The 15729-nt window shown below is 36.7% G+C and overlaps 1 long non-coding RNA gene across 2 annotated transcripts in view, besides 1 other annotated feature; it reads left to right on the top strand.

Annotated features, from left to right (window-relative positions):
- The first annotated feature begins 486 nt into the window (after positions 1-486).
- The window catches only part of LOC105370251 (uncharacterized), a 74385-nt gene continuing 59142 nt past the window's right edge, over positions 487-15729 (top strand). For both annotated transcript variants that reach the window (XR_942050.2, XR_942049.3), the window contains exon 1: positions 487-669. This is a non-coding gene — a long non-coding RNA (uncharacterized LOC105370251). The remainder of the gene's footprint in view (positions 670-15729) is intronic.
- Positions 2247-3656: an enhancer, noted in NCBI's record as "VISTA enhancer hs575". NCBI's record gives its function as "enhancer in: midbrain (mesencephalon)[7/8]" and the evidence as "EXISTENCE:transgenic organism evidence [ECO:0001131][PMID:17130149]".

The raw sequence follows: 15729 nt of genomic DNA, 5'->3' as shown, positions 1-15729 counted from the left end.
AGGGCACAATCACTCCAGCATCATCCTAACGCAATGTCTAAGATTAGAATGATTTGAAGGTGCACTGCAGTCTCTGATTATTCTGAATTAACCTTTCTCATAGAATTCAGAGCTTCAGTATCTCCAGCCACTGTGATAGGGTTCATCAGGCTATCCTTCCTTGGCAAGACATGGAATCAAATCCTTCTCCCCACCTTCCTAGAAGGCTATCAATGCTCCACTCTACCTCCTAACTTTCAGCTGCCACCTCCATAATTAAATAGCTTCAGGAGTCTCTATTGCCAGGCTCACTCCCTGGTTTTGAGCCTTTCCTGGCTCCTTGTCTGGTAATTATTTGTTATCTTCTTAACTTGCCTGTGCCTTCACTTATTCAGGGAGATTACTATTGCTGTTGCTGTTCAGCAGCAATCCTGAGTGAGGTTTGTTCCACGTTACTCACTCACCATTATTTTTCTCCTTCCTTGGAGCAGGGTTATTCTGTTACGAGATGCTGTAACGTCCTGAGTTCGTTGGCTTCCAGCCAGGAGGTGACGTTTTTAAGAGAGCACCAGCTGCGTTAGTGGAAGGGGGATATAAGCTTGCCCCAAGATGGCCAGGATAAGCATTCGGGTTTCTCAGACGATGGGCGAGGTCAGAAAATTCCCAAGAGTTTATGTCTTCTGTGTTCAGGTACTGGGCAGTAGAGAAATAGTATCAGGTGGGGGCGGGGTTAGGGGGATCTGAGCTCAGACTATCCTTGGGTGGGGCTTGCCACGGTCACTGTGCGGGATGGAGGGGTGGTTCTTGAGCCAATGGGGTTCAGAGGGAAATGTGGCTGCCTCTGTCGCCAGGGAAGTGGGGGAAAGCCGGTAGCAGTAGGCCTCACCCAGCTCCCTCACAGTTGGTGTGGCCGGTCTGGCTCCTGCCATGCCCTGCCAACAGCACGAGTTTATCTCCAGGCAGACCATGACCCAAATTACTCACTCACTATTATTAAAGAGAGACCTGGCTTTATGAATCTTCAATCAAATCTCTGGTTCAATAATTATTTAATCAAAAAAATCTAAGTTTTTGAAATAGTGACACATATCAATATATTGACTTAAACATCCAGGTCTGTGTTTAGTAATAATGCTCTAATTCTCTGGGTGGAAAGCTCTACATACATTCATGTACCACATAATGACATTGCAGTCAGCCAAGAACAGTGGTTGCATGTTTATGATGCCATTTTTGACTGTACTTTTTCTATGTTTAGATATATTTAGATACACAAATACATACATTGACTTACACTCGCCTTGGTATTCATAACAGTAACATACTGTACAGGTTTGTAGCCTAGAAGCAGTAAGCTATACCATATTACCTAGGTGTATAGTAGGCTATTTCCTCTAGGTTTGTGAAAGTACATTCCATGATGTTTGCACAGTGATGAAATTGTCTAATGACACATTTCTCAAAATGTGTTCCCATTGTTAAGTGATGCATGGGTGTGTGTATATATGTATATATAAAACATGTGTGTGTATATATAACTACATATGTATATATAAAACATATGCATGTGTATGTATATACCTGCATATGTATATATGTATATCTCCTATTATTGGTACTTCTTGGTAGTTTGATGTGGAGTTTAATTTCTATTCACTGACTTCTTTTCTCAGTTTTTCAGAACTATCATTTTACTTTATGTTCCCTGATACTGCAGAGTACATGAAAACTATGAAAATTATCACAACTTCATGTAGTGGCTCAAAGGGATATCATTAGTTAACAAGATAATGAAATGAAAATTTTGGAAAGAGGTATTAAAAATTACAGCTGGTAAAATTGAAGCAAATGTTGGAGAGATTAGATTTTTAACTAGAACAAGGAAGAAAGCAATGTACTGCTTATTCTTCAAGTCATGATCATCATTATTATTTTGCTAGCAACATCAGCATAGAATGTTATGCTTTGCCTTTTATGTATGTCAAATATATTAAGAACATCCTATAGATTTAATACTAATGTTTGTGTCTATATTTGAGTAATTTTCTAGTTACTATTTTTGGTTTGCACATATACCCTACTCTTCAGATTAACTCAACACCTCAATTGCAGAAGTCACACAGTTTAAACTGTGACATTTGTGATCAGAGAAATCTGCATTCCCTAATTATTGAAACATTCTTCCAGCATGTAAAATATGAAAGGGTCATAATATCCTCTCTGTCCTTCTAGTTAAAGATACATTCTGTGATCATAATTTAAAGGTAGCATACAAATGCATCAGGCTTATTTCAACATTTGTCTCTATACTTTTTCAAATGTTTATATAATAAAATTACTAATTTTTTGATAGCAGAGTTGTATAACTTCTTATCCTTTTGCCTGAGGCAAAGTGCTAGTATTTGATTTATCTTCTGTACTTGTTTTTCTTTTAACAATATGAACTTTTTCCCAGACAAGTGCAATGCTGTGTGTGACCCCACAGGGAAATATTTTTCTTTTTAAGGAATGTGTACAAAGTACTTAATAAGTCATGTCATCCCATGATTTACTGTATATTATATTTTTGGTGACTACAGTTAACTTTCTCGGTCTCTAGATGCCAACATTTTAATAAAAACAAGACATTTTCAACGAAATGTCAGAAACAAAGTGATCAAAGTGCTGTGGGAGCAGTTTGGCAACAGTTTGAGCTTTGAATTTCCTATTCACTTTCCAAAACATTCACTTAAAAAGCATTTATTGAAGCTGAACTGCCTTTATCAGCCTGATCAGAGCACCATAAAGAGCATGCATGATTCAACTGCCTTCCCAAGCTTTAAAAAATATAACTTTGATATATGTCTCACGAGTGCAGCACAATAGTTTTCATGCTCACGTTTGTTAAGATTTAGTGCAGCCATTAAAGAACAGAAGGGCTCTTTGGTGGCAATCCTCAGACATACCAAATATCCCAAAGCAAAACCTTCTACAAATCAGAGATTAAGGTACTGACAAAAATTTCCACTTGATTGCAGTTTTCCCCTTTAAACCTTATATCAGGAGTGACTATCTTTTCGATCAAATCTCTTAGGGAGGTGAATAGATAAGTTTTTTCCCTCTTGGAGGAAAATATCAACTGAGAGATAAAAAGTGACATTTTATGTGCCTTGTCCAAAAGTCAGTCGATTTATTTAAAAAACGGTGTGTGAGACTGACCTATACATGAAGCTTGTGGCATGTGTCTTGTCAAGTATTGATCACTTAAGTCTTTACTGTTTGCCTACTGCAATGTAGCTAATAATCTCTTTTTATTTAGTTTGTGGCTTTGAATTCTTATCATGGCTTTGCTGATTTCTCTGGGACCTATTAGATCTTGCTTTTGCTGTGCAAATGGCTATGGAAATTAAGCTTGCTGAAGCACTTTTCCTGGGCAAACACTCTTTGTTTTCTATCAGTTCATGTGTCAAGTGGTTTGCATGCAGATAGGGTACATTTGGAAGCAGCGGGCGCCATCAATCTTCATGACTTTGCTATATACATCGTTTCACCTCTCCTTGGTTCAATGGGAGATTGTAAAGGATGGCTGAGCAATCAGGCTATTCCCTTTGACTGACATCAAGGTATTTCATCTGATTCACTTTAGCACTTTCGGTTCAATGCTGGAAGCTTAGAAAATAGGGCACTAGGTGATGTGGTCAAATGTCCACATATTTTAACATAGTTACTATCTCTCCTAAATTTCAAAATTGTATTTTTGAACTTCATTTACAAAACAGAAGCAAAGCTGAATTTTGTTGGTTTATGTGTGTCCTCTACTCATATTATTGTCCTAAATTCTTGAAGGGTTAGTACAATGGCTGCCTTACTGCCTGCATGACTTCATTGAGTTATTTCTCATGGAACTGAAGATATATATCATTTACTTATTATTAATAACAGTTAAAGAAAGTAACTCACATTGATGGGGCCATATGCTTCACTTGTTTGCATTCTAAGATGATCTACAGTAAATGAATTAAACTTCATTCCTTTTCAAGGCAGTAGTTGATATAGATTGAGGAAGTTATAATATGTATATTACAGTTTAAAAGTCTCATTGCACCAAGTATTCTCTGTATGTGTGTTCATGTATGTCTTGGTGTATATCTGTATATATAGAGATACAGGTATAAAAAGAAAAGGAGAGAAGAATGTGCTATTCTATCATTTATCAAGATTAATGAATTGACCAATAGTGTTCAGTGTTATACAACTCAGTGTGTCTACTGCTTCCAGTTAACAGATCGAAGAAATAACTCAACAGAAACCTAAAATATATTGGCTACATTTAATAGCCACAAATTTTCATTTGTATTTTTCTTGAAATGATATTAGTATCAAAATGTCACAATAGAACTACTATAGATAGAAAAGTAATAAGTAATATAATTACTTTTTAATTTCAAAGCCATATCCAATGATCATTTGCATTAGCTAATCAAGTTTATGTATAAATATCAGAACCATATTATATATACATAAATGAGGATTATGAAGGAAGAAGGTAAAATTTTAGAAGCTGCACATATGTTTGTTCTAATCAATAATGACATAGAAAGATTCAAAGTCTTTCCAAATTGGCAGAATCCTTTAGTACTTCAAATGTTCTAATGTTTGGTTTATAAATAAATATACGTTGAAGATTCCATGAAAAACACTCAAACATTCTTAAATCTGAATTCTGAATTGGTGAACAAAGTTAAAATTGTGAAAAAGTCTGTATTTGTGCATGCCTCTGTGTGTTTGTGTGTTTGTAGACTCACTAATGAAAATATATAATTCTTGATGCTTACTCACTGAAAACAAGGTTACCAATTAGGATATTTTAGAAAATATATTCTAAGGAATGTATGTCCTTTATTTATTATTAATAACTGCATTAAAATGGTAGTTTTTTGTGTTAAAAATATAAGTGTTCTCAGAATTTGTGATTCCTCTTTAATGTGTGTAGTATTATTTAACCCTATTGCTTCGGAATAATTAGACTCTTAATGAATTCAAATTAGAATATATTTATTAGGTTGGTGCAAAAGTAATTGCATTTTGGTCATTACTTTAATGGCAGAAACTGCAATTACCTTTGCACCAATCTAAAATTTGAGTAGTTAAAATGTGTAAACATAATTATTTGCAATCCCATTTGCCCTTTGTTCTTCTCTTATTAATAAATAATTGGACTTTGAAAATTACATTTATCCATTATCAATCTTTTCCTTTAAAGACTCTTTGTCCTCTCCACCTCACACTCAAAGTCCAATCACGTGGCAACAACAAGGAACAGTTACATCCTGATGAAACTCTGGACATAGTTGCTTAGTCCAGAGATGAGCAGTAGGTGTAAGCTGATCAATCAGAGTTATTCTCTGGAACATGACCAGGATGTACACAATAGAATAATCTCATTTTTGTCAGAATAACTTTTTCTACATTAAAAGTACTTAGAGGCAGGGCATGGTGGCTCATGCCTGTAATCCCAGCACTTTGGGAGGCTGAAGTGGGCGGATCACCTGAGCTCAGGAGTTGGAGACCAGCCTGGACAACAAAGCAAAATCCCGTCTCTACTAAGAATACAAAAAATTAGCTGGGCATGGTGGCACGTGCTTGTAGTCCCAGCTACTCGGGAGGCTGAGGCAGGAGAATCGCTTGAACCCGGGAGGCGGACGTTGCAATGAGCCGAGATCACACCACTGCACTCCACCCTGGGCGACAGAGCGAGACTCCATCTCAAAAAAAAAAAAAAAAATAAGTGCTTACAGAAATGCTTAACATATAGTAATTTCGTAAAAAGTGCGAGTCATTATTAATTTATTATTATTATTTGTAGATTTAGAGAATGAGAGAGTCAAAATCTTGGTTTTAAATTACAAAAGCCAGTCTTTTTTTCCTTATTTTGAGGCAGTGTCTCACTTTGTCCCGCAAGCTAGATTGCAGTGGCAGGATCATGGCTCACTGCAGCCTTGACCTCTTGGGCTCAATTGATCCTCCCACCTCAGTCCCCCCACCCCCGAGTAACTGGAACTATAGGCATGCACCACCACTCCCAGCTAATTTTTTAACATTTTGTAGAGACAGGGTCTCACTATGTTACCCAGGCTGGTTTCAAATTCCTGGGCTCAAGTGATTCTCCCACCTGGGCCTCCCAAAGTGCTGAGATTACAGGCATGAGCCATTGCATCCATCCTCAAAGGCCAGTCTTATAGACAGTTTGCAAAGAGGCTCCCATGTGCAGCAGTGGAAATGCAAACAAAGCTGAGGACCAAGCAGAGGATTTCATTGTCAGAATAGTTGAGCTCCAAAGAAGGCTGGCGTGCTGTATGAAGGTCTGATTTTTGGCTGGGAAATAATGTGACCTTAATCCATGTGATAGGAATATCTGGTTTGATTTTTTTTTTTTGAAATTTTGTATATTCAGATTCCTCTGAACTTACTGGTCCTGCAGAAATGGTCCACTCATCCACATTTTGCATTGGCACACATTTCTTGTTTGAGATGTTACAAAATTCTGTTTCAGGACTGTAATACTCCTTCTCCAACCAGGATCTGCTCCCACTTCCCACTACTACTATAGAATTAAGTTACACCTGCTGAAGATATGAAAAAAAAAAAAGAGCGAGAGAGAGAAAAGAGACTTAAAAAAAAAAATCAAAGGATCCGAAAGACCTAGCTAGCATGTACCACTAGAAAACAAGAGTGTGAGGGACTGAATTTTGAAGTCCTTTGATGATGAGAAAATTTATTGATTTTGGAGCACTGACCTGAAATAAACTATTTAGCTACTTGTAAAAAACTCCAGGACATGAGGTAAACTTGCTACTAGAATGACTTGTAGAAACAGGGAAAAATCAATGGACTACTCTAAGTGACATTGAAATGTCAGTATTGCCGTTGCACACTGTAAAGCAATGGGTTAAAATACTCAGAAATAGGCTTACTGGAATGGCAATTTTATATAAGGGCTTAGAATGTGTCAGATTATGTTGCAGGGGAATATCACATGATATGCCATTTACCAAGTGTGCTAGGAATATGTTAGTGAGGGGGCACCAGGAAATGTTTGATGGTGGCCCTCTGTGTAAGCCACTTTTGACAGTATGAGAAGCCATTAGGGAACTAGGCTTATTGACAGCCAGCAGGACGGTAGGACTCTGAAACAATGGTACTTGATTATTGACAGTCAACTGGATGCAGTTATTGTGATATGTGGCAAGGTCAAAAGGGCACATGGGGAGCCTCACTTGTAGCAAATTAAAGAAACGGCATCCCTAATTATAGAAATTGGCACCTCAGGGGAAAAATGACTGGGCATTAAGCAAAAGGGACCTACTCATTTATAATCATTTAATGAAAGCAAAAATGGATGACCAGGAGGCTGAGGGATGTCACTGTAAAAAAAAGTCAGCACCTTTTTCCTAGATTTTAGTACTGAGAATGTTTTTTGACCCAGAATCTCCAGACTCTTCGAGTGTTGGAATCCCAGGTTGAAATGTCCTGCAGCACCAATCAAAGATAAATATGTACTGAGGAAAGGGAAATCTTGAAATACTTGGATGTGTCTTGGATACGGGGCCATTAATAATGAAGGATATGGAGAATCATAATGGCACTCTTATTAGATCGGGGGATTTGGAATACATGCAACAAGCGAAGTCTTGTCCCAGGTTTGACTCCTGCTGTCTCCACTAGTTCTTGAATCCATCCAGTGATCAGTTTCCTGGTTTATGAATGTATAATCAAAACAGACATAATTGGTAGCTGGCACAGGGTTTTTGGCCTATGGCATGAGATCATGATATCAGCATGGCAAAGGGAAAGTATAAGCCTGTAATAATTCTGCCCCCAGCCTCAGCCAAATAAGTAAATTAAAAACAAAACAACAATAAAAAAATCAAATATATATTTTTTGTTAAGAGCATAAAATTTATTACCATTTTTAAGTATATAAAGCAAGCTCGTCCAACATATGGCCTGTAGGCCACGTGTGGCCCAGGAAGGTTTTGAATGCAGCCCAACATAAATTCATAAAATATCTTAAAACATTATGAGACTTTTTTTGCTATATATTTTTTTTAGCTCATCAGCTATCACTAGTGCTATCATATTTTATGTGTTGCCCAAAACAATTATTCTTCTTCCAATGTGGCCTGGGGATGCCCAAAGACTGGACGCCCATGAAAGAATGTAGGCATTATAGTTTTGGACATACGCTCAATTAATATTCAAGACAGATCCCGGAGAATAATGGTAGATTATCACAGTCATAACGAAATAACATCCCCAATCGCAGCCACGATGCCAGATGCAGTGCCTTTGCCAGAGTATACTAACAAATACAACCTCAGGTAAACGGTATGTGGCCATTCATTTGTTGAAGGTGTTTTTTGTTTGTTTTCTGGCTTGCTTGCTTATCTTTGCTTTTATCTCCTTATCAGAAAAAAGGATCACAAGCAGTTTACGTTCACATAGAATGGAAAATAGTATATGCTATATATTAACATCAGGGGTATGCTTACTCTCTTACCATTTGTATTAAGAAAGTCTATAGAGAGCTGCACTGCCTGGTTCTTCTGAAAATCACATTGATCCACTTTACTGTTCATATCATGTTAATTGGTCCAAATGAATAAGAAAGGACTGCTAAATTAGAGACCTTATTATGACCCAAGCCTCAGAGGGTGTAAAATAAGCCCTATGCTGATGTGCCTACAAAATCAGTTAAATTATCAAGAGACCAGTGGTCAGAGGCATGTTGAAATACTCTTCCAAAGGAAAAATTAATATATTTTACATTTTACACCATGAAGAAGCAGTAGTGCCTGGTAGCCTATTCAAGCACTGGAGGCAGCATACGCAACATCTGGGGACGCTGCTCCACACCATACATTGGGTGATTTGAAAAGCTGCCGGGTTTGTGTGAGATACAGAGCAGGAAAGGACTCTGCATCAGGACCAGGCTAAAGTGAAAGCAGCTCCAAAGCTTGATCCATAAATTTCAGACACTGTGCCATTAGAAATGGAAGTGATAGAAAAAGATGCTGTGTGGAGTTTATGGGCATCCCGGATGAAAACATCAAATCTGAGGGGGCTGTCAGTAGGCAACTGCAGCTTATAGCTTTTTCATGGATGCCTCAGCTTCAGAGAGCTTCTGGAAGCAACCAGCATCAAATGACCATGAGGTATAACCCAGGACAACTATGAAGGATTTGATAAAGGCTGCCATTAAGCTTGAATTGCAGCACATTTCCATTTTAGAGTCAGTTTCCTAGGGAATTACACCATCAATATTAATAATTTTGTGGGCTTTTTAAATGTTATTTTTTTAGTGCAGTTGATTAAAATAATTGATATTAAACCCAATATATAATTGACTGATATGGTTTGGCTCTGTGTCTCCACCCAAGTCTCATCTTGTAGCTCCCACTGGAAGGGACCCAGTGGGGGATGATTGAATCATGGAAGCAGGTCTTTCCTATGCTCTTCTCATGATAGTGGATGGGTCTCACGAGATCTGATGGTTTTAAAAATGGGGGTTTCTCTGCACAAGCCCTCTCTTTGCCTGCTACCATGTGTGTAAGATGTGACTTGCTCCTCTTTGCTTTCTGCCATGATTGTGAGGCTATTCAGGCCATGTGGAACTGTAAATAAATCTCTTTTTTCTGTAAATTGCCCCATCTTGGGTATGTCTTTATCAGCATTTTAAAAATGGACTAATAAATTGACCCAAGATTAGTTTATAGAAAACTAAATTCTATTAATTGGAAATAAACACAATTTTCCATATAGCTGGATTTTTCTTTGCTAATATGTTAAGATACTTGAGGTAGGCCTATTAACAATCTTACTACTATTGCCATTATTAGATTTTGATTTCTAGTTTTTATAATCCTGTAAAGTAATTTGGAATAATTGCCTCTTCTTCTGGTCTCAGGAAGGTGTGATGTTTTATTGTTTTGTTTTTTTTTTAAGTTGTGAAGCTCGGATTTATTTATTTATTTTTTAAATTTTTTTAATTATTATTACACTTTTAAGTTTTAGGGTACATGTGCACAATATGCAGGTTTGTTACATATGTATACATGTGCCATGTTGGTGTGCTGCACCCATTAACTCGTCATTTAACATTAGGTATATCTGCTAATGCTATCCCTCCCCTCTCCCTCAACCCCACAACAGGCCCCGGAGTGTGATGTTCCCCTTCCTGTGTCCAAGTGTTCTCATTGTTCAGTTCCCACCTATGAGTGAGAACATGTGGTGTTTGGTTTTTTGTCCTTGCGATAGTTTGCTGAGAATGATGGTTTCCAGTTTCATCCATGTCCCTACAAAGGACATGAACTCATCATTTTTTATGGCTGCATAGTATTCCATGGTGTATATGTGCCACATTTTCTTAATCCAGTCTATCATTGTTGGACATCTGGGTTGGTTCCAAGTCTTTGCTATTGTGAATAGTGCCGCAATAAACATACGTGTGCATGTGTCTTTATAGCAGCATGATTTATAATCCTTTGGGTATATACCCAGTAATGGGATGGCTGGGTCAAATGGTATTTCTAGTTCTAGATCCCTGAGGAATCGACACACTGACTTCCACAATGGTTAAACTAGTTTACAGTCCCACCAACAGTGTAAAAGTGTTCCTATTTCTCCACATCCTCTCCAGCACCTGTTGTTTCCTGACTTTTTAATGATCGCCATTCTAACTGGTGTGAGATGGTATCTCATTGTGGTTTTGATTTGCATTTCTCTGATGGCCAGCGATGTGAGCATTTTTTCATGTGTTTTTTGGCGCATAAATGTCTTCTTTGGAGAAGTGTCTGTTCATATCCTTCGCCCACTTTTTGATGGGGTTGTTTGTTTTCTTGTAAATTTGTTTGAGTTCATTGTAGATTCTGGATATTAGCCCTTTGTCAGATGAGTAGGTTGTGAAAATTTTCTCCCATTTTGTATGTTGCCTGTTCACCTTGATAGTAGTTTCTTTTGCTGTGCAGAAGCTCTTTAGTTTAATTAGATCCCATTTGTCAATTTTGGCTTTTGTTGCCATTGTTTTGGTGTTTTAGACATGAAGTTCTTGCCCATGCCTATGTCCTGAATGGTATTGCCTAGGTTTTCTTCTAGGGTTTTTATGGTTTTAGGTCTAACATGTAAGTCTTTAATCCATCTTGAATTAATTTTTGCATAAGGTGTAAGGAAGGGATCCAGTTTCAGCTTTCTACATATGGCTAGCCAGTTTTCCCAGCACCATTTATTAAATAGGGAATTCTTTCCCCATTGCTTGTTTTTGTCAGGTTTGTCAAAGATCAGATAGTTGTAGATATGCAGCATTATTTCTGAGGGCTCTGTTCTGTTCCATTGATCTATATCTCTGTTTTGGTACCAGTACCATGCTGTTTTGGTTACTGTAGCCTTGTAGTATAGTTTGAAGTTAGGTAGTGTGATGCCTCCGGCTTTGCTCTTTTGGCTTAGGATTGACTTGGTGATGAGGGCTCTTTTTTGGTTCCATATGAACTTTAAAGTAGTTTCTTCCAATTCTGTGAAGAAAGTCATTGGTAGCTTGATGGGGATGGCATTGAATCTATAAATTACCTTGGGCAGTATGGCCATTTTCACAATATTGATTCTTCCTACCCATAAGCATGGAATGTTCTTCCATTTGTTTGTATCCTCTTTTATTTCCTTGAGCAGTGGTTTGTAGTTCTCCTTGAAGAGGTCCTTCACATCCCTTGTAAGTTGGATTCCCAGGTATTTTATTCTCTTTGAAGCAATTGTGAATGGGAGTTCACTCATGATTTGGCTCTCTGTTTGTCTGTTATTGGTGTATAAGAATGGTTGTGATTTTTGTACATTGATTTTGTATCCTGAGACTTTGCTGAAGTTGTTTAACAGCTTAAGGAGATTTTGGGCTGATACAATGGTGTTTTCTAGATATACAATCATGTCATCTGCAAACAAGGACAATTTGACTTCCTCTTTTCCTAATTGAATACCCTTTATTTCCTTCTCCTGCCTAAATGCCCTGGCCAGAACTTCCAACACTATGTTGAATAGGAGCAGTGTGAGAGGGCATCCCTGTCTTGTGCCAGTTTTCAAAGGGAATGCTTCCAGTTTTTGCCTATTCAGTATGATATTGGCTGTGGGTTTGTCATAGATAGCTTTTATTATTTTGAGATACATCCCATCAATACCTAATTTATTGAGAGTTTTTAGCCTGAAGGGTTGTTGAATTTTGTCAAAGGCCTTTTCTGCATCTATTGAGATAATCATGTGGTTTTTGTCTTTGGTTCTGTTTATATGCTGGATTACATTTATTGATTTGCGAATGTTGAACCAGCCTTGCATCCCAGGGATGAAGCCCAATTGATCACGGTGGATAAGCTTTTTGATGTGCTGCTGGATTCGGTTTGCCAGTATTTTATTGAGGATTTTTGCATCAATGTTCATCAAGGATATTGGTCTAAAATTCTCTTTTTTGGTTGTGTCTCTGCCCAGCTTTGGTATCAGGATGATGCTGGCCTCATAAAATGAGTTAGGGAGGATTCCCTCTTTTTCTATTGATTGGAATAGTTTCAGAAGGAATGGTACCAGCTCCTCCTTGTACCTCTGGTAGAATTCGGCTGTGAATCCATCTGGTCCTGGACTTTTTTTGGTTGGTAAGCTATTGATTATTGCCTCAATTTCAGAGCCTGTTATTGGTCTATTCAGAGATTCAACTTCTTCCTGGTTTAGTCTTGGGAGAGTGTATGTGTCGAGGAATTTATCCATTTCTTCTAGATTTTCTAGTTTATTTGCATAGAGGTGTTTGTAGTATTCTCTGATGGTAGTTTGTATTTCTGTGGGATTGGTGGTGATATCCCCTTTATAATTTTTTATTGTGTCTATTTGATTCTTCTCTCTTTTCTTCTTTATTAGTCTTGCTAACGGTCTATCAATTTTGTTGAAATTTTCAAAAAACCAGCTCCTGGATTCATTAATTTTTTTGAAGGGTTTTTTGTGTCTCTATTTCCTTCAGTTCTGCTCTGATTTTAGTTATTTCTTGCCTTCTGCTAGCTTTTTTTTTTTAAAGTTTATCTATTTTTTCTTTAAAATCAGAAGTAATTAACAGCATTACTTTAGTGAACAATGTTTATTTATATAGATCTAAGTATTTACTTTGTATTATTTGTTTTTTATGTTTTTGATGGAGTCTCCCTCTGTCACCCAGGCTGGAGCATGGTGGCGCGATCTTGGCTCACTGCAACCTCCACCTCCCGGGGTTCAAGCAATTCTGCTGCCTCAGCCTCCCAAGTAGCTGGGACTACATGCATCCGCCACCGTACCCAGCTAATTTTTGTATTTTTAGTAGAGACGGTGTTTCACCATGTTGGCCAGGATGGTCTTGATCTCTTGACTTCATGATCCACCCACCTCAGCCTCCCAAAGTGCTGTAATTACAGGTGTGAGCCTGTATTATTCATCTCTTACATATCAGGTATTCATTCTGTGATTTGTATTTTATTGCCTAAAACATATCTGTTACAATTTCTTTTGTTTGTTTTTTTTTTTTTTGCCAGTAGTACAACCTATCAACTTTTGTTTTATGAAAATATTTCAAATTTCTCCTGGTTTTTGAGGATGATTTTTCTGTGTATAGATTTCTAAGTCTGGAGTTATTTATATTATTACATTGACTATATTACTTCACTCTTATGAATTTTTATTTTACATGTGTCTGATAATTCCAATAGCAGAAGGTCTTTTCTTTCCTTCCTGTTGTTATATGCAGATACACCTACATATATTAATATATAAATGAATATGCATTTATATGTGAACACAGAAACGCAGACACACATACATACATATTCATTTATTTATTTTCTTCCTTGTCTTTGTGCCAAATGGCTTTTGAGTGAGTGATTCATTTCCAAAAAATTTTTGTGTCAGACCATTTTCGGGCTCAGAATGAAGGAGTAACTCTAGCAGGTATTTGTGTATACTTCTATGCTTCAGAAGGCACTAATTTTAGGATCTACTTTAAACTAAATCAATGATTGGATGGTTTTCCCCACCTAGGTATGGTGAACTTCAGCTCAGTGTCTGCCAGAGAGGCGCTATATTTACACTTTCTCAACATCATTTCCCCATGCTCTGCTTAGCACCAAAGAGACTTCCGCTTAATTTAAAGCCACATTCCCTGAAGGCTGATGATAAAATTTTATTCTGGGTTTACGTTTACACTGAGAGTGTATCCTTTGGATGGTCACATCATTAGGAGAAAGGAATCTTTTATTAGACTCCACAATTTAGGTGGCTCTGAAATTTGTCTTCTGGTCCCGGTATTTTTCCTGATCTTGAAAATCAATATTTGTAGAAGTATCCATGATAGTCAAACTCAAAGAAGCAGAAAAGGCAATAGTGGTTGCCAGGGCCTAAAGAAAAGAGAAATGGTTGTTTTTGAATAACTCTGAAGTTCCAGTTCTGCTATATGAAAAAGTAGAGATTTGCTCTTTCACGTAGTGGCTATAGTTAACAATAGACAACATGTACTTAAGAATTTATGAGAGTAGATCTCACGTTAAGTGCTCTTACCACAAGAAAAAACAAAAACAAAATAAAAAACAAAAGGACGCTTTGAGAGGTGTTAGACATGTCTATTACTTTGATTGTGGTAGTGCTATCACAAATGTTTGCATTTGTCCACACTCATCAGATGGTTCACATTAAATATGTTTCGTTCTTATATATGTTCTACCTTAATAAAACTGAAAGAAAAAGAAAAACATCAATGCTCCATTTCCCTTATTTTGTAAAATAATTTCATAAAAAAACAGCTTCAGTAATATTTATATCTCTTGGTTGCTACTATCACAAATATTTTTGGCTTGATAATTACTCACTATCTTGCTAGTTTTATGCTTTTAAAATAAGTTAAAATTTTTTTACCAAACAATTTTTATTAATTTCACCAGAAGATTTGAACAGGACTACTGTGTTTTTACATTACTAGTTTTCCTAATTGTTTTTAAGATTTTTAACATTGCAATTTTTTTCCTAAATGCTTATTACCTAATTAACACTTTTAAATGTTCTTTGAGAGTCTAAATGAAATGTGTATACTGTCTTGGGAATAATGCTATATATGTCCATTAATTTGAACTTGTCATTTTCATCATCTCAATCAATACTTCATATCCTAATTAATGTTTCATCAAATTAATCTTTAAATTTCTAAAAGAAATAAGTTAAATTATTTCACTAGAATTGTGAATTTATTATTCTTATATTAATCAATAGTGCTTGCTTTATACACTGTAAAGCCATGAGGGTCAGTGGATTTTTTTTTATTTCAGATTACATGTCTTCCTTGTGGTGTTTGATCTTACATAAATTTGAAATACCTTTTTGGGGTTATTTTCCATTGTTTTTATTGTTGTAAATTGCCAGCGCTATTTTCCTCATGCTTTTATTTTTAAAATTCCAGAGTAATTTTGATATATAATACATAAACTTTCTAAAAAATGTTATTTTCTTGAGAATAACTTAGCTTTCTATACAGGGAACCCAGAGACTCAATATCTACCTGGCGTTGAGCTCTGGCTCAAACTAAAAAATTTAGCTTCTATGAAAAAGGAGCAAGGAAAGAGTCTTTAAGTAACCTGGCTCCCCAAACAGAGCTTTCTAATTAATAAGCTCATTAATTTTACTCAGGTTTTTGTTGTATTCTTTGGATCTGTGGACTTGCTACACTCTATTTTT

Source organism: Homo sapiens, chromosome 13 (assembly GCF_000001405.40).
Source record: "Homo sapiens chromosome 13, GRCh38.p14 Primary Assembly".
Classification (NCBI taxonomy): domain Eukaryota; kingdom Metazoa; phylum Chordata; class Mammalia; order Primates; family Hominidae; genus Homo; species Homo sapiens.
Note: the sequence above shows the minus strand (reverse complement) of the source record. Positions and strands in the feature narration are given on the sequence as shown.